The sequence below is a fragment of the Homo sapiens genome, chromosome 5, assembly GCF_000001405.40.
Source record: "Homo sapiens chromosome 5, GRCh38.p14 Primary Assembly".
NCBI lineage: Eukaryota > Metazoa > Chordata > Mammalia > Primates > Hominidae > Homo > Homo sapiens.
Window position 1 is genome coordinate 176,543,990 of NC_000005.10, and position 25,221 is coordinate 176,569,210.

Sequence of the window (25,221 nt, forward strand, 5' to 3'; positions counted from 1 at the left end):
CCCACCGTCCCCGCCTCCTGGGCGCATTAGGCCAGCGAAGGCTGCACCCCGCCGCGGGCCGCGCTCTGGCTGGCATGCAGGTGGTGGTAGTCCCTGCAGACCGCGCCTCCCACAAGCTGCACAACCAGGTCGTCTGCTTAGCCCAGGTTTAGCTCCTCTGCGGAGGGCTGATGAGACGGTGGAGCGGCTGCCTCCGGGTCTACTTAGTTTTTAAAGCTGCCGTTTGTTGACAGAACAGCCACCTAAAGGAGAGCTTTAGAGGGAATGAGTGCCCTGGAAGGAGGCTCTGGGGTGGGGAGAAGTTGGTCTCATGGGTCCCCAATTTCTTTCTTTCTTTCTTTTCCTTCCTTCCTTTCTTTTTTCTTTTCTTTTCTTTCTTTCTTTCCTTTTTTTCTTCCTTTTTTTCTTTCTTCTATTTCCTTTCTTCTTTTCCTTTATTTTCTTTCTTTCTTTCTCTCTTTCCTTTTTTTGACGGAGTCTTACTTTGTCGCCCAGGCTGGAGTGCAGTGGCGCGATCTCGGTTCACTGCAACCTCCGCCATCCGGTTTCAAGCGATTCTCCTGCCTCAGCCTCTCGAGTACCTGGGGTTACAGGTGTATGGCGCAACGCCCGGCTAATTTTTTGTGTTTTAGTGGAGATGGGGTTTCACCATGTTGGCCAGGCTAGTCTTGAACTCCTGACATGGTGATCCGCCCGCCTCGGCCTCCCAAAGTGCTGGGATTACAGGCGTGAGCTACCGCGCCCAGCCCCGAGTTCTTTCTAGGGTGGGAGGCTGTGAGTCTGTGACATCACGGGGATATTCTTGGGCTGGTTCCTTGTCTGTAAGAGCAACGAAGGGACTTTGTACCCTGCAAAGTGCAACTTCCGGGGATGATTGGGAAGTTGAGGGGTTGAATGCATTCACACCAGAGTCACTCTCAGCCCAGACTCTCCGGGTCACCTCTAAGGCTGTGCACTAGGTGGGCGTCAGAGGTATTACAGGTAAAGAAATGGCGGCTCAGAGGGAAGGAGAGACTTGCCTAACTTCAGGGCAAGCTAACGCTTGATTTCAACTTGATAAATTTCTGAGTATGCAGTGGGTGCACATAGCAGAGACAGGTAATGAGAAGTTTTCTTTTTTCCTTTTCTTTTTTTGTGGGGGGTGGGGACAGAGTCTCACTCTGTCACCCAGGCAGGAGTGTAGTGGTGCAATCTCGGCTCACTGCAATCTCCCCCCACCCCACCTCCAGGTTCAAGCGATTCTTGTGCCTCAGCCTCCTGAGCAGCTGGCACTACAGGTGCACGCCACCACGCTGGGCTAAGTTTTGTATTTTTAGTAGAGATGGGGTTTCACCATGTTCTACGTTTCACCATGTTGGCCAGGCTGGTCTTGGACTCCTGGCCTGAAGTGATCTGCCTGCCTCAGTGTCCCAAAAGTGTTGGGATTACAGGCGTGAGCCACCGCACTCGGCCGAGAAGTTTTTCTGATTAAAAAAAATTTTAAGGCACACACTTCAGACAGTGGCTGTGAAGGAACCCTGATGTGTATCTAAACTGTCGCCTCGTGCACATCACCCCATTACTTACTCTGTGCTAAGTGCTGTCATGCATTACATCATTACTCCTTAGAACAGGCCTATGAGGTGGAGTCTGCATTAGGCCCATTTTGGACAAGGACACCAATAGTGTGGGAGGTGGTGTACCTTGCCCAAGCCCCCAGCAGGTAAGTGGTGGTGGGGATTAGGACCCAGGTCACTTGAGTCCATATCCTGGGCTCTTAGTCCCACTCTGCCTGGCTGCCTGCTGCTCCGTGAAGCCAACCCTGGACCTAGACCTGGACCTGGATCGTCATAGCCCAGATCCCTGTGTGCTTCCCAGGCTGCCTTGTGGCAGGTGGATGGTGCCCCTCGAGATGGGCAGGGCACCATCTGGCCACACGTGCCTCATCGTGATGGGTCCAAAGGTCTGGGCAGGCCAGGACACACCTCTGTCAACCAGAGCAGTGACTCAGAGCTGTCGGCCTCAGCCGTAAGGGCAGGGAGAGGGGGCAGGGGCTTGGGTTGGGGTCTGCCCTATTTGGGGCACAGCAGAGCGACCAGGCTGACTCCCATGGTCTGAGGCAGAGCGGGGAGCCTGGAGCCTTGGGTGGGGTCACCTGCCTCTCTTCTTACTGGTTAAGCCACCAGCGATGACTAGTGCCTACTTCCTTCAGAGAGGAATCTGACGGCTGTGGCAGGAAAGTCAGGGGCAAGAATTGTTGCACAGATATGCTAATATCTCAGTTCTGCCACTTTCTGTAATCTCGGGTGGTGATCTAATCTGTCTAAGGTCTATTTTCCCATCTGTAATGGGGAAAAAAATCATCCCTGGAGTTATTGGCAGGATTAAATGAGGTGATATTAGTAATGCAATAGTCACCACCATGCCCCCACGAAAACTAACATTCATTGAGACCTTATTGTGTTGGGCATTGTGCTCAGGACTTCAAATGGGTGACTTCATTACATCCTCACCATCACCTGCCCAGGTAGGCATCATGTATTACCTGCAACTTACAGATAAGGAAACCGTCTTAGAGAGGTTATGCAACTTGCCCTGCCAAAATTGAACCCATTGTGAATATACAGTAGATAAAAAAAATAATAAAAATAAAATGAAATTAAAAATTGTGGCTGGGCAGGGCGGCTCACACCTGTAATCCTAGTACTTTGGGAGGCCGACACGGGTGGGTCACCTGAGGTCAGGAGTTTGAAACCAGCCTGGCCAACATGGTGCTCAAAAAAAAAAAAAAAAAAAAAAAAAAATTGAACCCAGCAGTCTGACCCCAGAGGAGCCTGGTCTCTGGTCTCTTAACCCCTGCATTGTAATAGTCGCATCGAGCGCTACCCAGTGTCTGCAGCATCCTTTCCTCAGAAACACTTCTCAAAAAGAGGAAAAGCCTCTTGGGTATCAAAACTCAGAACTGCATCATAGCTCCCAGAGCCTGGCTATACGCAAAGTGGTCTTTTTGGTCTTTTTTTTTTTTTTTGAGATGGAGTCTTGCTCTGTCACCCAGGCTAGAGTGCAGTGGGACAATCTTGGCTCACTGCAACCTCTGCCTCCCGGGTTCAAGTGAATCTCCTGCCTCAGCCTCCTGAGTAGCTGAGATTACAGGCACCTGCCACCGTGCACAGCTATTTTTTGTATTTTTAGCAGAGACAGGGTTTTACCATTTTGGCCAGGCTGGTCTCGAATTCTTGACCTGGTGATCCACCCGCCTCAGCCTCCCAAAGTGCTGGGATTACAGGCGCGAGCCACCAGCCTATGCAAATGTTTTAAAATGGATGGATGCTGGACTCAATGGATCTCAATTCCCTTTTTTCTTTGCCTGGGGGGAAGCTCAGAACCTGATTCATGACCCATCTCTACAATTACCCAGAACTTGAAGGCAAATATATATATATATATAATTTGTTTATTTTTTGAGAGAGAAGCTCTTGTTGTCTAGGCTGGAGTGCAGTAGCTATTCATAGGCACAGTCTCACTACTGATCAGCACCTGAAGTTTGACCTGCTCTGTTTCTGACCTGGGCTGGTTCAGCCTTTCTGAGGCAACCTAGTGGTCCTCTGCTCCTTGGGGTTCACCATATTAGTGCTGAATTTAGTGTGGACACCCCATCAGCATAGTGCCCTACAGCACAGAAATCCTGGCCTCAAGCCATCCTACTGCTGCAGCCTCCCAAGTAGCTGGGACTACAGGTGCACAGCAGTGCCCCCAGCTCAAGACAAGTATTTTATGGCCTCAATTCAGGCGTAGATTACCCTTATTTTTCTCACTTGACTTCCCTTCATCTGGGTTTCTTCTTTTTATGCTGGTGGCGTATAAATTTTGTTACTATGTTTTACATTTGGAGAGTTGGGAAGCAAACTATTAAAATGCCTGACTATAGCAACTGCCTGATATACAGTCAACACAACCCTTAACAACGGGGACACCTTCTGGGAAATGTGTCATCAGGCAATTTCGTCATTGTGTGAACATCACACAGTGACTTACACAAACCTAGGCGGTACCACCTACTACACACCCAGTCTCTATACCACCGCCTGTGCTCCTGGGCTGCTAACCTATGCAGCCTGGGACTGTACCGCACGCTGCAGGCAACTGTAACACAGGGGTAAGTATTTGTGCATGTAAACACAGAAAGGGTGCCATGAAAGATGATATTATACTCTTATGGGACCGCTATTATATGTGTGGTTCGTTGTTGACCAAAACACAGATATATGGTGCATGACTATATATCTATTGTGAATTAGACATGTCCTCTGCCCACAAGAAGAGGGCCACCCAATGGTGACGACTCAGTGGTGTGCCTTAAGAAAGTTGTGCCCAGGGTCCCCTTTCTGTGTCAACTGTGATGGCTGGGCCAAAGTGAGGATAAGAAGGACTTGTGGCTGAGCCCCTTCGGGAGGCCACCACATCGGGCAGCGCTTAAAGCCAGCCTGGGGGCCGAGCTCCGTGGCTCATCCCTGTAATCCCAGCATTTTGGAAGGCCGAGGCAGGCGGATCGCCTGAGGTTAGGAGTTCGAGACCAGCCTGGCCAACATGGTGAAACCCTGTTTCTACTAAAAATACAAAAAAAATTAGCCGGGTGTGGAGGCCCACGCCTGTAATCCCAGTTACTCGAGAGGCTGAGGTAGGAGAATTGCTTGAACCCAGGAAGCAGAGATTGCAGTGAGCCAAGATTGTGCCACTTCACTCCAGCCTGGGTGACAGAGCAAGACTCTGACTCAAAAATAAATAAATAATTAAAAAAAAAAGGCAACTTGGGAGTGGATGAAGCCCCTGGGGACGGGCAGATGCCTTTTGAGGGTCTCAATGCGGGGTGAGATCAGTGTCAACAGGCTCGAAAGTGGGTTGTCCAGGCTCAGCTAGCCCCCAGTCCTCCACGAGAACCTCACAGGGGCTGGTCTGGCCACACAGTGTTTGATTGTTACACTGTTTTACCACTTCCCTCTCCTGACTCAATCCCCCACTTGTCCACAGATCCCCTGTCACTGAAGACTCGTAGCAGGGAGGGGACGGGGGCTCTGGCATCACCTTCTGACTGTCACCGTCCCCGCCTCCAGCCTGCCCCAGTGTTGGGCCTTGTTCCCAGGTCCTCTGGGCTCAGGGTCGGCCAGGCCCCTTCTCCTGTGGTGTGGGCCTCCAGCCCCAGGAGCGCCAGGAGCTCTGGCGCCTTGGTCCCTTCCTCCTGTCCGGCGCCCCCAGCTGTACTCTGCCTCATTAGGAGTCGACCCCTCCTGGGAGGTGTGGTCTCTGGCAGGGTTAATGATTGCTCAGTGGAGGTGGAGATGGTGCCAAAGTCTGCTGGCCACATAGCTGCAGGCCGCAGAGGGTGCCCACCTGTGTGCCAGCGCCTGTCCGGCGCCTGCCTGCCGCCTCCGTGGCGAAGGGGACACAGGTAGGGACTATCCAGCTCATCGGGGGTCTCTGGGCCAGAGAAATGTGGGGGTTGGGGGGATCCCTAGAGCCAAGGCAAGCTTGGGGGTCTTTAAAAGTCTCCCCTGAAGCTGGGCAGGGGAAGTCACACGCTAGATGGGGCAGAGCCGGGTCAGGTCCCAGCCTGCTGTGAGGCCTGTTTCTTTGGTAAACATGGGATAATAATACCTCCTTCCCTGGGGGCTGATGGCCCCCTTCCCATCCAAGTCCTCAAGGGATGATTCTTCAGAGGATGGAAGGGAGGCAGGCACCCCAGGGAAACGAGGTAACTGGCCTGACCCCTTCATAGGATGCTCAGGGGTTGAGGACGGGGAAGCTGACCTGGGCTCTTACCCCAGCTGCTCGGTTCACATCCCAGCTCCACCCTGACCTTGGTGGGCTACTTAACTCTTCTGGGCCTCCGTTTCCTCATTTATCAAATGGGGATGAGAAGAGTTCCAGAAAGGGCCTGAAAAGCCCTGAGGCAAAGGTGAGCATGTGGCCTATGACCGAGCCCAGTGCCACCTCAGCCAGTGCTAGGAAGTGTCAGGCAGGGACTGACCCAGGCTGGCCCCAGCTCTGCCCAGTCCGGGCCTTGCACATCTCTCTGCCCTGGTAGAGGAGGTGGTGACCCAGCTGAGAGTCGGGGCCATGCTGCGTCACTCAGGCAGGCCTGTGCTGGGTTGGGCACCAGGCACAAGGCAGGGTCCCAGTGAGCACCGAGGTCCGGCAGATGGAAACAAGTCATGGCCCGTGTGTAGACCCCTTGATTTTTATCCTCACTCTGCTTCTCAGCAGGGGAAACTGAGGCCTGGAGAGGGGAGAGGGCTTGCCTGGGGTTGCACAACAAATATGTGAAATGCTGCCATCTGAACCCAGGGCTGTTTGAGTCTGTATGTGTCTGCTGGGCCAGGTGGCCTGGGCCATAGGCACTGGGAGGGCCCGTGGCGGGGAGCTGCGTGCTCAGGTCCCACATCCTTGCTCCGGGCACCCAGGCTCGGCTGGAGTCCGCTCTGTGGGTGCAGGCACGGCCTCCTGGATCAACGGAGCCCAGACCAAGGCTTGCCCAGGGACCCCTGGATTTGGAGGCAGCCTGGGTCTAACCTGCTGCCCCTGGCTCACCCATCTCTGGGCATCTATGAGCCTCGGTTTCCTTGGAATAATAGGATAGGATAATTCCTGCTTGGGAACAGCTGTGAGAAGTAAATGAAAAAGCAGAAGTGAAAGTGCATGGCGAGCTGGCCGTGTAGCGGTGGCGGTGCTGGGGGAGCTCTGTAGCATCGTGGCTGAGTGCACCCCGGGGGCTCCCCACACTGAAGGAGGACCCACCTCCCCACCCTGACCCTCCTGGAGGTCCTGGGCAGTCCGGGTATCCTCACTCCCAGTGGTTCCAAATTCTAGAAAATCTTGGCACCGTGGACTGCTCTGAGATGCGGCTGAAGCCTCCTCTCAGCCAAGGCTGAAGAGCTGGCACCTCCTGGGCCAGGTGGGACCAGTGAGGATTCCTGGAGACTACACATCTCATGGCGTGGGGGCCAGAGTCTCCCTGATTCTTCTCTGTGTCCTTTTTGGTCCTTCCCTAAGCACTTTCTTTTTGAGACGGATTCTCACTCTGTTGCCCAGGCTGGAGTGCAAGGCGCTATCTCGGCTCACTGCAACCTGTGCCTCCCTGGTTCAAACGATTCTCCTGCCTCAGCCTCCTGACTAGCTAGGATTACAGGTGCACGCCACCACGTCTGGCTAATTTTTTTTTGTGAGATGGAGTCTTGCTTGTCGCCCAGGCTCCAGTGCAGTGGTGCGATCTCAGTTCACCACAACCTCTGCCTCCTTGGTTCAAGTGATTCTCCTGCCTCAGCCTCCCGAATAGCTGGGATTACAGGTGTGCGCCACCATGCCTGGCTAATTTTTGTATTTTTAGTAGAGACAGGGTTTCACCATGTTGGTCAGGCTGGTCCAGGCATTTTTTGAGAGCAGGGAAACAACAGTAGTGGCCGGAGGGCTTGAGAACAAGGAAGCAGTAATTTCTGGAATATAGATAGTCCCCATTTTAAATTACTTTATTTTATTTTTATTTTTTGAGACAAGGTCTTGCTCTGTCGCCCAGGCTGGCGTGCAGTGGCGCGATCTCGGCTCACTGCAGCCTCAACCTTCTGGGCTCAAGTGATCCTCCCACTCTAGCCTCCCAAAGTGCTGGACTGTGTTTGCTCCTTTAAAAAATGAGAACTATTGGTATTGGCCTGGACTGCCACCACACCTAGCCAAGAGTTCTCTTTTTTTTTTTTTTTTTTGAGACAGAGTCTCGCTCTGTCACCCAAGCTGGAGTGCAGTAGCGGCATCTCGGCTCACTGCAAGCTCCGCTTCCCGGGTTCACGCCATTCTCCTGCCTCAGCCTTCCAAGTAGCTGGGACTACAGGCGCCCGCCACCACGCCTGGCTAATATTTTTTTTTTTTTTGGGGAACTTTTAGTAGAGACGGCGTTTCACCATGTTAGCCAGGATGGTCTCGATCTCCTGACCCCGACCCCGTAATCGGCCCGCCAAAGTGCTGGGATTACAGGCGTGAGTCACCGCGCCCGGTTAATAGTTCCCATTTTTAAAAGGAGCAAACAGAGAAAAGAGCCCAGGGGTACGGTTGTGCAGTGACTGGGACCTTGTTTCACACCCATGCGTTGGCCTGAGGCTGCCCCAGCAGGGAAAAGCGGGTGCCTGTCCGCAAGTCCCAGCCCAGGGGCAACTCCATTCACTCGGTTTCCATTTGTGCCTTGCTCCTGCCCCTTGCTGGGGTACCAGGAAATGAGGAGCCCAGAGTGGGGGCCACCAACTGCCTGAACACAGCTCCACAGCTGATCTGGGCCTTACAGAATGGAGAGGATTTGCATGTAGGCAGAAGGCAAAGAAAGACATTCTGGGCAGAGGGAATGGTTTAGGCAAATGGAGGAAGGACAATGCAGGGTGTGGACCGAGAACAGGAGCATTCAACACCACTGGACCTCAGGAGTGGGAGAGAGCAGCTCGTGTGGAAAAAGCAAGACCCAGGACCTCCAAGGACCTCGCCTGTCAGGCTGAGGGGCAGGCAGTGTGTCCTGCAGCCAGTGGGAGCCATGGAGGAGATTTGAGCTTGGGAGTGACCTATCATGGGGAAGGCTTAGCATTGGGGCAGGCCGTTATTGCGCCTTCGCCAGCCCACACAGACACTGTGCTTTTTCCCCAAGTGACTGAATCCAGAGGCAGATGCTCTGGACTGTAGAACGCCAGCCTCATCATGATCATGAGGAGGCAGGACTGCGAGAAACCCGGGGCCAACCCCAGCAGAGCAGGAGGCAGGCGAGGCAGGGATGAGGCAAGAAAGAGCACTGGCCTGGGAGGCAGACAGGGTGGCACCCCCACTCTGCCGCTGACAGCCTTGGAGCTGCTGGGCAGGAACCCTGGCCTCCTGCACTCATGTCTGTGTGCATAAAGGGGATTGATGAATCCAGCTCTTCCTTCCAGGGGGATGGCTGGGCCCACATGCAGGGGAGAGACTGTGCGTGCATCACACAAATGCAAAGGGGCATCGCTGTTGCTCTGAGTGAGGGTCCCCAGGCTTCTTGAGGCCCTCCATCCTGCCCTGTGAGATGGGGAGGGGGGAGTTGGGAGACACTTCCATGAGGGAGAAGCGTGGCGTGTATGGGGAAGGGGCTGTAGGGGGAGGCGCCTCGGGGACTGGGTGAAGGTCCTGGTTCGGGCTGTTCTCTCTCAACATCACATGTTTGTGGGCTCAGCATGACCTGTGGGAAAATCGGGCAGCTCAAGAAGGAAAACCCAGGAGCCTAGAAAAGAGAGAAGGCACAGGCCTGGCTTGGGTTCTGCCCATTACTGGCTGGGCCGCGCCCTTTCCCCTCTTGGACGTCAGTTTGCTGAGGACTAAATGGTAATGGGGGCAAAGTGCTAGCCTCGGTACACGGCCCTTCCTTGCCAGTTCCCATTTTCCTCTGGGACTGGGAGGAGGGACCCTGAGGGCAGGAATCTCCTGTCCTGCAGGCTGGACCCAGGGGAACTTTGTAATGATGATGAATCCATCTTGATACCTGCTGGCTGCACACCTAGTGACTAATTGTCCCGTGGCAGTTGACTCATTTCTGAAGGACAGAACATGAGAGAAAAAAGTGAGGAGGGAGGTAGGTTCCAGGTTACAGCCTCAGAGGGATGCCTGGGCTGGACGCATCCAGCCCCTGGCTGTTCCTTACACAATGGACACCTGCAGTCTAGCAGTACCGCTAATGCCCAGCTCACCTGCGTCTCCACCGCCAGCCCCGCCACCACCACCATCTCCCTCCCCCAACTGTCACCTCCACCAGCGCCACCTGCGTCTCCACCTTCATCAGCACACACATCATCAGCATGTCCGTCCCTACTTACCACCACCAGTGCCACCCCTACCCCCGAGGGATCCCTATCCTGATATTGGACCCTGCCTCCATGACCACCTCACTCACTGCCCTTGACTCCAGCGCTATGATGTCACTCTCCAGGGTGTAGCTGTACCCACATCGCTGTCCCTGTCTCACTGAGGACTGTGGCTCAGCACTGCTGGGGGTTCTGAGGACTGAGAACTTACTAATTCCCCTGAGCGGTGGGGCACATCTGTATTTATCAGTCTGGCTGAGTGCAGCCCTGCCGTTCAGCATGTGGGCTGTCCCCAGCTGTCATCTCCGGGGTTCTTGGCAAGCCAGCATTTTCCACAGCAACTTCCCAAGGTTCCCCTGGCTAGAGTCACATGGAAGGTAGCATGAGAAACAGCCCCAGGGCTCCTCCACACACAGCCCTGGCCCTGCCCATTTAGCTCTGACCTCTGCAAGCAGTCTCAGACCCTGGGGAGCGTGGATGGTCACCAGGGAGGGAGGAAGCTGTTTCCATGGTGATTGCAGTGGGAGGAGCAGCCATAAGGTGAGGACAACCCCACGGAAGGAAGAAGGTTTGCACTTGCTGAGCGCCTATTGTGTGCCAGGCGCTGAGGTGGCACATTCTTATTCCCACTCATCCCCCGCTGCCTACCCTCATCACTTAGTGGGGTTATTATTCTCACAGGGGAGGGAACGCTTAGAGAAGGGCAGTGAACTGCCCAGCGAAGCTCTGCTGCTCCTTGACTCTGTAAACTCAAGCCAGGCTCTTCACCTCTCTGAGCTTTGTTTTCCCCATCTGTAAAGTGGGTAGAATGGTACCAATCTAGAAGGGTTTTTTGTTTTTGTTTTTGTTTTGTTTTGTTTTGGAGACAGTGTCTCGCTCTGTCTCCCAGGCTGGAGTGCAGTGGCACGATCTCGGCTCACTGCAACCTCCACCTCCCGGGTTCACACCATTCTCTGGCCTCAGCCTCCTGAGGATTACAGGCACGTGCCACCACACCCAGCTAATTATTGTATTTTTAGTAGAGACGGGGTTTCACCATGTTGGCCAAGCTGGTCTTGAACTCCTGACCTCAAGTGATCTGCCCGCCTTGGCCTCCCAAAGTGCTGGGATTACAGGTGTGAGCCACCACACCCAGCCTCGAAGGGATTTTGTGAGCATTACGTAGTGCCCGGCTCAAGTTCTGAGAGGCAGGAGGTGCTTCCTCCACGAGTCTCTTGCTATTCATTGCTGTAATGTTTAACGGTTGCCAAACATCCCACCCAGGGCTTGTCCACATCTTTCTACATCATTGCCTGTGTTTCATGTTACGGTCACTTCCAGCTTCCCATGATTATAAATAATCACTCACGGTCAACAACTTTCTGCAAAAAGAGCTTCTTATTCTATGTTAGTTGGATGAGTAGGTCAACAGGGCAAACATTTTGAAGCTTTGGGGTCCACATCTGAACTGGGGTTTTCTCCTCTTGCTAGGGCCCTGGGGCCACGGGAGGCCTGCCTCCTTCTCCCTGCCTCAGGGAGAGGCGAGGGCCTTGGGATCGGAGAGTGGCTGTGAATCCCACTCACTTTCAGCTGTGAGGGCCTCAGCGGAACACTCCCAGCAAGAGCCTGTTTGCTCATCTGCAAAATGAGTTGCTGTGAAGATGAAATTCTATGAATCCCAAATATTCTGCCTCCAAACTATAGCCCTGCTCTTGCCTCCCCTCCAGCCCTGCTGCCCCCAGTTCAGCCCGGCGACACACAGCAGCCAGAAAGGTCTTAAGAGGAAATTACTGCCTGCCACTCCCCTGCTTAAAACTCTGAAATGGGCCAAGTGCAGTGGATGGCTCACGCCTGTAATCCCAGCACTTTGGGAGGCCGAGGTGGGTGGATCACCTGAGGTCAGGAGTTCGAGACCAGCCTGGCCAACATGGCAAAACCCCATCTCTACTAAAAATAAAAAAATTAGCTAGGTGTGGTGGCTCACGCCTGTAATCCTTCGGGAGGCTGAGGCAGCAGACTCGGTTGAACCCGGGAGGCAGAGGTTGCAGTGAGCCGAGATCGCCCCACTGCCCTCCAGCCTGGGAGACAGAGTAAGACTCCATCTCAAAACAAACAAAAAAAACCCCCTCTGAAATGACCTACTGTTTTTTGTTTTTCTTAGAATAAAATGAAACATCCTTCCTGTGTCTCATAGGGTGGAGCATGCTCTGGCCCTGCCAGATTTCTCAACCTGCCTCCCTCCCATGATTCCCCACCTCTCTCCCTGCAACCCAGCCACAGGGACCTTCTTTGAACTCCTGGAATACACCTGGTTCTTCCCTGGCCCAGGCCATCTCTCATATTGTTTGTGCTACTTGGGACTCCCGCATAACAGTGCTCACCTTATCACAGCAATATGGGCATTTAATTTTTAAAAATATCAAATAGGCCAGTCACGGTGGCTCACACCTGTAATCTCATCACTTTAGGAGGCCGAGATGGGAGGATCGCTTGAGCCCAGGAGTCTGAGGCTGCCCTGAGCCAGGATAGCGCCATTGCACTCCAGAATGGGTGACAGAGCAAGACCTTGTCTCAAGAAACACCTAAACAGGCCGGGCGCGGTGGCTCACGCCTGTAATCCCAGCACTTTGGGAGGCCGAGGCGGGCGGATCACAAGGTCAGGAGATCGAGACCATCCCGGCTAACATGGTGAAACCCAGTCTCTACTAAAAATACAAAAATTAGCCGGGTGTGGTGGCAGGCACCTGTAGTCCCAGCTACTCGGGAGGCTGAGGCAGGAGAATGGCATCAACCCGGGAGGCGGAGCTTGCAGTGAGCCGATATCCTGCCACTGCACTCCAGCCTGGGCGACAGAGCGAGACTCCGTCTCAAAAAACAAACAAACAAACAAACAAAAAACACCTAAACAGGCTGGTCCAAGTGCAGTGGTGTTTACAACTAATTTATCACAACAGGTTACAGATTGCTTTCTTCCTTCTCCACTCAAACTGCTTCACTTGACTAGCCTTAAAACAAACAAACAAAAATATCAAATGATACTACAAGGTTTATAACAAAAGCCGGCCTTTTCCTGACCCACACCCCACATCCCCAGTATCCACTCTCTAGAAGCAACTGCTTTCACCTCCTTTGGCCTCCTCCCCTCCCTCCCCTTCCCCGCTCCCTCCCTCCCTTCCTCCCTTCCTCTCTTCCTTCCTTCCTTCTTTCTCTCTCTCTCTCTCTTTTTTTTTTTTTTTAGCAGTGGATTCTTGCTCTGTTGCCCAAGGCTGGAGTGCAGTGGGAAGGTCTTGGCTCCCTGCAGCCTCAAACTCCCGGGCTCAAGCAGTTCTCCCACCTCAGCCTCACGAGTAGCTAGGACCACAGGCATGCACCATGGCGCCTGGCCTGTTATTTAATAATATTTTGTTGTTTTGCTTTTTTTGTTTTTTGAGACAGGATCTCACTCTGTCACCCAGGCTGGAGTGCAGTGGTGTGCTCATGGCTCCCTGCAGCCTCAAGCTCCTGGGCTCGAGTGATCCTCCTACCTCAGCCTCCCAAGTAGCTGGGACTACAGGCATGTGCCACTACGCTGGCCTAATTTCTGTATTTTTTGCAGGGACGGGTTTTTGCCATGTAGGTCAGGCTGGTCTCAAACTCCTGAGCTCAAGTGGTCCATCTGCCTTGGCCTCCCAAAGTGCTGGGATTATAGGCGTGAGCCACTGTGCCTGGCCTCATAATTTTTAAGACATTATCTGTTTATTTCCTTTTTATTATCACCTTCTTAGATTTTTTTTTTTTTTTTTTTTTTTGAGATAGGGTCTTGCTCTGTCGCCCGGGCTGGAGTGCAGTGACGAAATCTCTGCTCACTGCAACCTCGGCCTCCTGGGCTAAGTCATTATCTGTTGATTTTTTTTTCTTTCTTTCTTTCTTTCTTTCTTTTTTTTTTATTTTGAAATGGAGTCTTGCTCTGTTGCCCAGGCTAGAGTGTAGTGGTGCGATCTTGGCTCACTGCAACATCTGCCTTCCAGGTTCAAGCGATTTTCCTGCCTCAGCCTCTCAAATAGCTGGGGTTACAGGAGCCCGCCACCATGCCCGGCTAATATTTGTATTTTTAGTAGACACAGGGTTTTGCCATGTTAGCCAGGCTGGTCTCAAACTCCAGACCGCGTGATCCACCCGCCTTGGCCTCCCAAAGTGCTGGGATTGCAGGTGTGAGCCACCGAGCCTGGCCTATCTGTTAATTTCTTAAAGTGAAAGATGAGGATTTTATTATCTTACAGCCCATCACGCTTCCCCAGCGCGCATGGTAAGGTTGTAGTCCATCGACCATGGGAACGGGACCCCCTGAGCCACTGGCGTATGATGTTCCTGGGCTCCTTCTAGTACAGCTTTCCTTTCCTGCATGGTCACTGGTTTTGCTTGCTTAGTTTTCTTTTCTTATTTTTTTTTTTTTTTTTTTGAGACGGAGTCTCACTCTGTCGCCCAGGCTGGAGTGCAGTGGCGCCATCTCGGCTCACTGCAAGCTCCGTCTCCCGGGTTCACACCATTCTCCTGCCTCAGCCTCCCTAGTAGCTGGGACTACAGGCGCCCGCCACCATGCCCAGCTAATTTTTTTTTTTTTTTTTTGAGATGGAGTTTCCCTCTTGTCGCCCAGGCTGGAGTGCGATGGTGCGATTTCGGCCCACTGCAACCTCCGCCTCCCAGGTTCAAGCAATTCTCCTGCCTCAGCCTCCCAGGTAGCTGGGATTACAGGCATGTGCCACCACGCCCAGCTAATTTTTTCTGTTTTTAGTAGAGACGGGGTTTCTCCATGTTGGTCAGGCTGGTCTCAAACTCCTGACCTCAGGCGATCCACCCACCTCAGCCTCCCAAAGTGCTGGGATTACAGGCGTGAGCCACCGCGCCTGGCTAATTTTTTGTATTTTTTAATGGAGATAGGGTTTCACCGTGTTAGCCAGGATGGTCTCGATCTCCTGACCTTGTGATCCGCCCACCTCGGCCTCCCAAAGTGCTGGGATTACGGGCGTGAGCCACCGCGCCCGGTTGCTTGCTTAGTTTTCTACATGGTATCATAAGTTCATCCCTTCACCCTAGCCAGAGGTGTAAATCTCATTTCCTGATTCTATAGGATAAGAGTTTGGATAGGGCATAGCAGGAATTGCTCAACTCTGTTCCATGGTGTCTGGGGCCTCAGCTGGGATTATGTAAAAGATTAGCGGTTGGACAGTGGGGACTGGCTAGACATCTTGCTCTCCCTCAACGCACAGGCCTCTTAACGTGGTTAGCTTGGGCTTCCTTATAACATGGCGGCCTCAGGGTAGTTGAACTTCTAACAAAGTATCTCCAGGTTCCTAGAGCAAAGTGGCCCAAGAGGCCCAGGTGTAAGCTGCAGAGCTTCTGAATGCTGCATTTCTGCCACGTTCTGTTGATCAAGCAAGTCACTAAGGCCAGCTCAGATTCAAGAGGAGGAATTAGACTTCCCTTCTCAATAGAAGGAATATCAAATAATTTGTGACACCATTAATCTCCCACACATAGCTCCATTAACTCCAGGATTGTTACCGAAAAGCCCCATAACCTTCTGATTCTGGGTCCTTTGTATGTCACTTGTTTTTCTCTGCAGAGGATTTCAGGGTCTTGTCTTTATCCCTAATACTCTCAAAATGCTTTGGCTTGGGTTTTCTTTTCCTTTCTTTCTAAAATTTGTTCTTGGAATTCTTTCAGTCTGGAAATGTGTTATTCACTTATACAAAATCTATTGTTTGTACTCATTTGATAGTTTCCTTTCCCTGTTTTCCTTCTCTGTTTCTCTTTCTGGGACTTCTATTAATCAGACATTGGACCTCCTGGATTAATCCTCTAATTTCTTATTTTTCTCTCCTAGTTTCCATTTCTCAACTTTATATTCTGATTCCTCCATTAAATTTTTAATTCCTGCATTTTTTTTAAAATCTATAACAGTGGCTGTCAACTAGGGGTGATCTTACCACCACTCTCCCTCCCCCATCAGGAGACATCTGGCCCCTCCCCCATCAGGAGACACCTGGCAATGTCTGGAGACATTTTTGGCTGTTGCAACTTGGGGGTTGCTACTGGCATCTAGTGGGTAGAGGACAGAGGTGTTTAACAGCGAGGAAATATCGGCTTCGTATGTGAGAATTAGATAAAGGGTGGTTGAGGCGTGGCTTTGGATTGGTTGGTTTGCATAGGAGAGGCAGGTCTGAAGGCAAGGCGCTTGCTGTCTCTGGGAATTAGCCAGCCCTAGGAGGGAAGTCTCTCCCTAACCAGCAAGGCCCCAAAGATGTCAAAGCATCATAAAACACAGAAAATAAAAACAAATGGCTGGGCGCAGTGGCTCACGCCTGTAATCCCAGCAATTTGGGAGACCGAGGCGGGCAGATTGCCTGAGGTCAGGAGTTCGAGACCAGCCTGGCCAACATGGTGAAACCCCGTCTCTACTAAAAATACAAAAATTAGCCAGGCGTGGTGGCGCACCCTGTAATCCCAGCTACTCGGGAGGCTGAGGCAGGAGAATCACTTGAACCCAGGGGGTGGAGGTTGCAGTGAGCCAAGATCGCACTACTGCACTCCAGCCTGGGCGACAGGAGTAAAACTCTGTCTCAATAAATAAATTAAAAAAAAAAAAAGACGCCAAAAAAGAATGATTAATACACCAGATTCAAGGGGAGCAGACATAGTCCTCATCTCTTGCAGGAAGGAGTGTCAAAAGATCTGTGGTCATGTTTGTCTGCCATACCACTTAAAGCGGTTCCCTTCTTTCACTCTCATCACGCCCACATCCCCCTCCTCCACAGCAGGGATGCAGTGCACTATTAGGTGGTACTTTGCGTACTCGTCTGTAGTCTGTCTCATTCAGAACCTGCACTGTTTTGCTCACCATTGCCTTCCCATTGCTGGGAGCAGGGTCTGGCAGATAGCGGCTCATGGATACCCAGTAACTATTTACTGAGGGAATGAATGAGCGAATCAGGGTACTCGGCACATATTAGGTGCTCAGGAAACGCCAGCAGCTATTTAAGATTGTCAGCCTTCCTGATGTTCCATGTTTCCCCAGCAGGTCTGTGGGGAGCATGGCGAGATGAATCTGAATTAAAAGAGGGAATGCTGTGCTGGGGCTTCAGGGCGGGGTGCTGACCATGCCCGGGAAGCACGTAGCCAGATCAGAACCAGGATCTCTGACTGTCTAGGGCACACTGGGGGAGGAGGGCCTGCAGCTAGCCAGTGCTGGCCAGGGCAGAGTTCTCCGGAAGAGAGGAACCAGGAATGGGAACTCCAACAATGAGAAGGGCAAGAGACAGACCGTCCTTTTCCTGCAATAATAACTTCTCACATTTATTATGTACTTACTGTGAGCTAGGCACTGTTTAAGCCTCAACACAAACCCCTGGTGTAGGTGCTGTTATTATTCCCATCTTACAGGTGAGGAAGCTGAGGCCCAGAGAGGGTATGTTACTTGCCCAAGGTTATGCTGGATTTGGACCCAGGCTCTCAGGTCCACATACCACATTACACTCTGCTCTATCTCATGGGTGTTCTGGATAAGCCACCTGGGGTTGCAGTGACTCACTGGCTCATCCATTCATTCCTTTCAGAAATACTCACTGAGCCTACACTGGGCTCAGCCCTGTGCTTGGTCCTGGGGTCACAAAGGTGCATCAGACGCAGACCTTGCCCTCACATCTCTTCTGGCCTGGTGGGAGAGGCTCATCTGCAAAGAGATAACAGAGGTTACTCTCAGGTGTATGCAGCATCCTGTGAGGTCACCATGGATGGGCGGAGGAGGCAGTTTCTCCTGTGGGAGCATTGAGGGCGTGTCTGGACAGAAGGGGATCCTGGAGTTGGGTTCTTTTTTTTTTTTTTTTGAGGTGGAGTCTCGCTCTGTCACCCAGGCTGGAGTACAGTGGCATGATCTCGACTCATTGCAACCTCCACCTCCCGGGTTCGAGCGATTCTCCTGCCTCAGTCTCCTGAGTAGCTGGGACTACAGGCATGTGCCACCTCGCCCGGCTAATTTTTGTATTTTTAGTAGAGATGGGGTTTCACCATGTTGGCCAGGCTGCTCTCAAACTCCCGACATCAAGTGATCCACCTGCCTTGGCCTCCCAAAGTGCTGGGATTACAGGCATGAGCCACCGCACCCAGCCTTGGAGCTGGCTTTTAAAAATGAAGAGAGTGCATCAGCCAGCAAGGCGGGGAAGAGCATTCCAAAAAGAGGGACGGGCAGTAGTGAGAGCAGGCAGAGGGAGTCTGTGGGCGTGCGGGAGATGAGGGGTGGGCTGAGATGCAGGGAGTGGTTCGAGGTGAAGCTGGAGTGGTCGAGGGTAGTCTTTGGGAAGCCCTTTTATGGAGTCTGGACTCTAGCAATGGGGAGCCATCGAAGGGTTTTGAGTGAGGGCGGAAAAGATTAGATTATGTGCAGAAGGACTAGTTTGGTTGAGTGGGATGGATTAGAGAGGCTGGAGGAAGGGAGGCCTTGAGGAGGCTGAGGACAGTGTCCCCAGGGAGGGCGGCCAGTATGGGATGGAGAGATGCAGGCTGATTAGAGAGAAACAGAGGAGGCTGCACGGATTGGACGTGGGCGTTCAGGAGAAGGAGGTGTCAGAATGGCGTGGGCAGGTGGGTGGCTCCCCGAGGCTGGAACTCGGGAGGAGGGGTGGGCAGTGTGAGGGAGAGTTCTGGTTTTTGATGCTGTTTCATCATCAGGGCTCGGCTCTGGAAGCCATCCTCTACCCCCACTCCTCCCCAGGGCTGCGTGCTTACTTCAGATGCTCTGGGGCAGGAGGGAAAGGGACATGAAGAGGTGCCCAGGACCAGGTGAGGGTGCTTGGTAGTGTTAACTTTTTTAAAAACACAAAATATAAATCTAGAAAAAGAGAGGGGACCATGTGCAGGTGGCCATCCCTCCGGCCAAGACCAGAGACAGACACTTCGAAATGGGGTTTGGGGCAGGAGCTTGGTGCTGGACAGTGTGGCTACACATACATATTCAACAGGTTACAGGAGGAGCTATGCATATTCATAAAGGAGCTCCTGACACATGCATGTTGAACACACGTGCATGCAACATATGATCCACGCTCACTTGGGGTGGCAACTTAACATGTAAATGTATTACAATTACGCCCTATACATCAAAAGGCCTTTTTGTGACATGGAAGGTGCATGAGTAAGCAATCTCTGAATGAGCTGGAGCCGGTCTGTGGTTGGTGGGCTCTTATCAGGAGAAAGTTACTGAAATCAGTCTCTTGTCCAGTCAAGGCTGTGGTTATGGGCTGGGCGCAGTGGCTCACACCTGTAATCCCAGCACTTTGGGAGGCCGAGGCAGGCAGATCACTTGAGGTCAGGAGTTCAAGACCAGCCTGGCCAACACGGTGAAACCCCGTCTCCACTAAAAATACAAAAATTAGCCCAGTGTGGTGGTGGGTGCCTGTAATCCCAGCTACTCGGGAGGCTGAGGCAGGAGAATCACTTGAACAATGGAGGCAGAGGTTGCAGTGAGCCGAGATGGCACCACTGCACTCCAGCCTGGGTGACAGAGTGAGACTCTGTCTCAAAACCAAACAAACAAAAAAGGCTGCGGTTATGGCTGGTGGAACAGGGGCTCAGTTCGTCAGCAGCTGTGAACTGGATGAGCTGTAATTGCTTTAATTTGGCTTTTCTCGAGGCCAGTGCTTATTTAGCTGCTAGAGAAAAAGAAAAAAAAAACCCTCATGGCAGTTAGAACAGAGTTTCTTCTGTAGGGCTGCCTGGCTTCACCCTGGCCTGGCATGGCCTCAGGTCCTGTTTATAATTTGGCATCTTATTGCCACGGAATGTCTATTCTTTCAGTCCTGCGAACTCTATTTTAACATTAACGCTGGTCGGTTATTGTGTGTCGCCTGTAAAAGAGAAGGGTATAATGAGGCATGATTGACCTCCCATCCCGCCATGGCTGGAAACTAAGTTTTGAAAGTTTTTCTGGGGTCTCCTGGGCCACAAGTGGGGCCGTTTAGTCAGTGGGAGGCATAGGATTTTATTTTTAGTTTACAGTAGCAAATGTGTTCCTTTGTTTGCTTTCAAGCTTGTTTAATTCATTTTTGGAAAAGTTAACATATTCAATCAGCACAAAAGAGTATACAGTAAAAAACTGGGCACAGTGGCACACGTCTGTAATCCCAGCTACTCAGGAGTTCAAGCCCAGAAGTTCAAGGCCAGCCTGGGCAACATAGTGAAACACTGTCTCAAAAGAAAAAAGTATACAGTAAAAAGCCCTGTCTTACAGAAAGATTATAGAGTAGCACAGTGAACATAGAGCATACAGACAACTTTCTAGACAGACAGCAAGAAACAAAACGTGTGGGGGCCCATCCTGCTCTCCTGCTTTCTGTGGAGTGACACATCAGTTGTCTTTGGGGATTCTTTTTTTTTTGAGACGGAGTCTCACTCTGTCTCCCAGGCTGGAATGCGATGGCGTGATCTCATCTCACTGCAACTTCCGCCTCCCGGATTCAAGCAATTCTCCTGCCTCAGACTCCCGAGTAGCTGGGATTACAGGCACCCACCACCATGCCCGGCTAACGTTTTTTGTATTTTGTTAGAGACAGGGTTTCACCATGTTGGTCGGGCTGGTCTTGAACTCCTGACCTCAGGTGATCCGCCCGCCTCGGCCTCCCGAAGTGCTGGGATTACAGGCGTGAGCCACCACGCCCAGCCTTGTCTTTGGGCATTGAAAGGGCCTTGATGTTTCAGGTCTCTCTGTGACAGTGAATCAAAGTCCCCCTTTTCTCCTTTTCCCTAACAAGGGACGGCTTGCAACATAAGATGATCAAAAAGACTGGCCCAGCAGGGTTTTCTAAGGTCTCTGTCTGGCTATCAATCAACAAGAGGATCCCAGAGTATGCAGCCCTCCCTAGACCCACCTGACTGGGGAACCCTTCTGCTGTGGCGCATCTCAGAGGGCCAGGGTTCCACGGAGCACAGTTTGGGAAAGGCTGCAAAGACAGCCACTAGATGTATCAGCAGGTGAACGAAGGACCCTGCCCACCCATAGTCTCTGGATGGTCCTGGACAAATTATGGTCCCTCTCCAGGGTCTTGATTGTGAAGGATACTATTAGTTTGAACACTTCTAACAGGCAGGTATAGATGGTGCAGTGGTTGAGAGAATGAACTCTGGACTCCAAAAGACCTGTGTTCCAAGCATGGTCTTGTCATTGACTCCCCGTGGCCTCAGGCAAGCCCCTTCGTATCTTGGTGCCTTAGCAGCCACCTCACAGTTGTGGGAATAACACAGCTGCACATCTAGTGCCTTGGAGCATTTCCTGGTGCATGGCAGGTCCTGGATTCAGGTTCAGACATCGTGGTCACCCCTACCCCACCTGGCCTCCCCCTTGGTTCCCCTGACCCTAGAGCATCTGGAAAATGGACAGAGGGTGATAGAGGCCCTGGGGGAGAACTACTAAGCAGCAGTGGTGGGTGGGCTCAGGTCAGACCCAGGCAGATGGGAGTCTGCCAAAAGGAGGGAGGCCTGAGTCCAGGAGCCATTCCCTGACCTCTTCCCTTAGGTCCCTGCGGATGTGATGGCCCAGCTATGGCTGTCCTGCTTCCTCCTTCCTGCCCTCGTGGTGTCTGGTAGGTGTCTCCCCTCCCCAGCCACGCAGCCCTAACCTAGAGACCCTTGGCAGGACCCTCCAGAAAGGAGGGGGATCCCTCATCAGCAAACACCAGCTCCTATGGGCCAGCCCTGTGCTTGGCTAAGCTGGGGAGGCCTGGGGAGGAATCCAGGCCTGGACGGGTGGCCTGGGTGGCCATAAGGACTAGTGTGTGCTCCCAGGGGAGCAGGTAGGGATCGGGTTTTGCAGGGGTGTCCCGATGTTCCAGCACACTGTGTCCCTACAGTGGCAGCCAACGTGGCCCCGAAGTTCCTAGCCAACATGACGTCAGTGATCCTGCCTGAGGACCTGCCTGTGGGTGAGTCCCGGTCCCTGTGTCTGCCCCATGTCAGGTCCTGACCCACAGGAAAGTCCTGGGGTGCCCTCTGGAGCCCCCACCATGCCTGCAACTCCATGGCTTATTGTGGGACAAAGAGGGACTGAAGGGAGCTCCTTTGATTCCAGAAGTTTGTTTTCTTCTCTTCAGCTTCTGGGTCAAGAGCAGTGTCCTCAAAGGTGTGAGACGCACCTCCAGGGGCCCTCACACCAGCGCCAAATCATCCGGCCTCCCCCATTGCCCATCGCTTTCAGTCTCTGACTGGAGGATCCCCTTGGGCCACGCTTCCTCCTCCTTCCTCACACTGGCTAATCTCTCCCACTCCCACGCTGGCTTTTTTTTTTTTTAAAGGGAGAGCAGGTGTCAGGCTCAGACCCTTTCACAGAAGCTAATGACTCACTTTGCTTTGTTTTTATTTGTAAAGTTACTTTCTGTCTATGGCAGGTGAGATGGGTTTTGAGATGTAAAGTTTGCTTTTAAAGTAAATGTCTTTACATGAGATGGAAAGTCAATTTAAGGAATGAGCACCAGGAACAGAACACAGACATAGCAATGGTCACGGCAAAAGTCACAGCAAAGGTCATGGCAGCGGTGCAGGAACGAATGAAGTTTGGGAAACATTATTTTGGAAGGAGCCAGGGGGCCTAGATACCACATTCCCAGAAGGCAGGATATAGATCGGGGAAGTAGAAACCATAGGTGGCCGGGTTGGTTGGGACCCCAAATAACAGAGATGCAAACAAGGCGGAGGTGAATTACCGCCCCTCGTGGCCGCCCAGGAGCCCGGACGGAGCTGTGGGGGCATGTCCCATCAGGCTGCCCTCCCTGCAGGGCTTGAGGGGGCGGGGGTCACGCAGCCTTCTTCCCGCTCAGTGGCCCGACTTCCCTAAGGCACAGGTCCCACCCACATGGGCCAGGATGGCTCAGACGAGAAACCATTCCAGTCACAGAAGGAGGAAGGGGACAAGAGGGCTTCTTCCTTTCTGGATTTTACACACATTGCTTCTGCTTTTGTCTCTTTGGCCAAAACTAAGCCACAGACCCACGCCTAGCTGCAAGGGAACCTGGCAAATGTGGCCTTCATTCTGGTTGGCCGTGTGCCTAGCTCAAAATCTGGGGCTCCATTGTTCTCAGAAAAGGGGGACAAGTGGATATTGGGGGACAAGCCACAGCCTTTGTTGCAGTGCAAAATGGAATCCAGGAATGTCGAAAGCTGCCAGATGAAACAAGAGACACCAAGGGGTATTGACAAATACAAAACCTGTGCAAGCAATCCCCTGATCAAGAGAAAGTATTTCCATCACCCCAGAAAGTTCCCTGTGTCCAGTTCTAGTCAATCTCTGCTCCCTAAAGGCAAGTGCTATTCTCATGTCTATCCCATGGAGGCTGGAGAGGGAGGAGTGCACAGGACTTTTTTTTTTTTTTGAGACAGGGTCTGGCTCTGTCCCCCAGGCTGGAGTGTAGTGGTGCGATCATGCTCACTTCAGCCTCGACCTCCTGGGCTCAACTGATCCTCCCACCTCAGCCTCCCAGGTGGCTGGGACTACAGGCATGTGCCACCATGCCTAGCTAATATTTTATTTTTTAAAGTAGAGACAGGGTTTTGCTACATTGCTGAGGCTGGTCTCAAACTCCTGGGCTCAAGCAGTTCTCCCATCTCGGCTTCCCAAAGTGCTGGGATTACAGGCATGAGCCACTGTGCACCACTACACCTGGCTAATTTTTTATTTTTATATTTATTTATTTTTGAGATGGAGTCTCGCTCTGTCACCCAGGCTGGAGTGCAGTGGTGCGATCTCAGCTCACTGCAACCTTCACCTCCCGGGTTCAAGCAATTCTCCTGCCTCAGCCTCCCCAGTAGCTGGGATTATAGGCACGTGCCACCAGGCCTGGTTAATTTTTTGTATTTTTAGTAGAGACGGGGTTTCACCATGTCGGCCAAGCTGGTTTCGAGCTCCTGATCTCAAGTGATCCGCCCACCTCCACCTCTCAAAGTGCTGGGATTACAGGCATGAGCCACCTCGCCTGGCCTAATTTTTAAATTTTTTTGTATAGATGGGGGTCTCGCTATGTGCCTAGGCAGCTCTCAAATTCCTAGGCTCAAGCCATCCCCCATCTCAGCCTCCCGGAGTGCGGGGATTACAGATGTAAACCACCATACCTGGCCTTCTGCTTTTAAAAGAAATGCAACTTTCTTGTGGGCCACGAAAGTATCAGGGGACGTAGGCTCCCATGCCAGTGGCTGAAGCCCTCAGAGCCCTGTGGCGGAGCTCCAGGGAAACGCATCTTCATGAAAAGAAGAAAGTCCTTGCTAATGAATATCGGGGCCAGTGGAGGTGTCGGAGCAGAGGCTGGATGGGTAAAGGAGGTGGGGGCTCAGGGATAGGGTGGGTTTGATGAATCTGTAAAAAGTTCCTTTCAGGCTAGGGAGTGGGCGACCAGCCTGCTGCTGTGCCCAGGCATGCAGTACAAGAGTTAGGGCTCTCAGGAGGCCAGCAGCAGACTGGACACAGCTTTGGCTCACTTGAGCAGAAAGGGGGTGTCCTGGAAGGCTCTCCAAAGCTCTAGTCTGCACCCAGATGCTGCAGCTGGAAAGGTTCACACCAGCCACGTCTAGTCTTGTGTCACGGAAACTCGGTATTCTGGAGAGGGCAGGGCCACAGGCTTGGCAAGGGGAGGGGTAGATGCCTGGGTACAGCCCCCGCCCCCTGCACTGTGTCCAGTGCCCATCGAGTCAGTGGGCACAAGGGAAATCAGGATGCTGCTGACTTGGCTGATGGTTGGGGAGGTCCCAGATGGCAAGTCAAGCCTGTGTACAGGGCAGCCAGGCGCCCAGCCCAGCCTCACAGCCAGCTTGGCCAGACCAGCACTGAAAGGGTGGCTGTGGACCCTGGGTGGCCCCTGTCCCATCCCCAGGTGCCCAGGCCTTCTGGTTGGTAGCGGAAGACCAGGACAATGACCCTCTGACCTATGGGATGAGCGGCCCCAATGCCTACTTCTTCGCTGTCACTCCGAAAACTGGGGAAGTGAAGCTGGCCAGCGCTCTGGACTACGAGGTAAAGAGCATCAGCCGGAGAGGGCACGGGACGCGGAGGGGGTGCTGGGAGGGCCCTGGGAGCCCGCGTCCTGGTGGCGGCACCCCCTGTGCTCCCACCCAGCGGGGGCTCACCACCGGCCCCTTCTCTCTGGCTGCTGCAGACACTCTACACATTCAAAGTCACCATCTCCGTGAGCGACCCCTACATCCAGGTGAGTTGGGAGGTGCAGGGGGGTAGACAGGGATTGCGAGAGTCCATTCCTGATTGTGTCCCCACCTCCGGCAAGCGGACGGTGCCCCAGTTAACAGTGAATTTAATGTTTATTTATATCGAGATTATACTAGTTCATTTCTTTGTCATATGACATTACCAAGATTTTAGTATTTTTAAAATTTATTTAAATTACATAAA

At 52.5% G+C, this 25,221-nt stretch overlaps 1 protein-coding gene and 1 pseudogene across 2 annotated transcripts in view, besides 4 other annotated features; one reads left to right on the top strand and one right to left on the bottom strand.

Annotated features, from left to right (window-relative positions):
• Window positions 1-25,221, top strand: part of CDHR2 (cadherin related family member 2) — a 53,464-nt gene that overhangs the window by 1,479 nt on the left and 26,764 nt on the right. Inside the window, exons 1-5 of one of the 2 annotated variants that reach the window (NM_017675.6) lie at window positions 5,353-5,425; window positions 21,349-21,415; window positions 21,683-21,754; window positions 24,689-24,828; window positions 24,971-25,021. In NM_017675.6, the coding sequence (NP_060145.3) occupies window positions 21,364-21,415; window positions 21,683-21,754; window positions 24,689-24,828; window positions 24,971-25,021 (315 nt within the window). In that variant the 5' untranslated portion in view covers window positions 5,353-5,425; window positions 21,349-21,363. Of the gene's footprint in view, window positions 1-5,352; window positions 5,426-21,348; window positions 21,416-21,682; window positions 21,755-24,688; window positions 24,829-24,970; window positions 25,022-25,221 lie in introns of those variants that run through there. The other variant, NM_001171976.2, reaches the window with a different exon arrangement.
• Window positions 42-91: a silencer, noted in NCBI's record as "silent region_16657". NCBI's record gives its function as "represses an Ori minimal core promoter by ATAC-STARR-seq in GM12878 lymphoblastoid cells {active_cell/tissue: GM12878}" and the evidence as "EXISTENCE:reporter gene assay evidence [ECO:0000049][PMID:35858748]".
• Window positions 3,444-3,737, bottom strand: RN7SL684P (RNA, 7SL, cytoplasmic 684, pseudogene; annotated as a pseudogene).
• Window positions 5,625-6,558: an enhancer, noted in NCBI's record as "H3K4me1 hESC enhancer chr5:175976615-175977548 (GRCh37/hg19 assembly coordinates)". NCBI's record gives its function as "activates a minimal SCP1, AML or CMV promoter by ChIP-STARR-seq in naive H9 embryonic stem cells {active_cell/tissue: H9 hESC(naive)}" and the evidence as "EXISTENCE:reporter gene assay evidence [ECO:0000049][PMID:30033119]".
• Window positions 8,207-8,840: an enhancer, noted in NCBI's record as "H3K4me1 hESC enhancer chr5:175979197-175979830 (GRCh37/hg19 assembly coordinates)". NCBI's record gives its function as "activates a minimal SCP1, AML or CMV promoter by ChIP-STARR-seq in naive H9 embryonic stem cells {active_cell/tissue: H9 hESC(naive)}" and the evidence as "EXISTENCE:reporter gene assay evidence [ECO:0000049][PMID:30033119]".
• Window positions 22,127-23,092: an enhancer, noted in NCBI's record as "H3K4me1 hESC enhancer chr5:175993117-175994082 (GRCh37/hg19 assembly coordinates)". NCBI's record gives its function as "activates a minimal SCP1, AML or CMV promoter by ChIP-STARR-seq in primed H9 embryonic stem cells {active_cell/tissue: H9 hESC(primed)}" and the evidence as "EXISTENCE:reporter gene assay evidence [ECO:0000049][PMID:30033119]".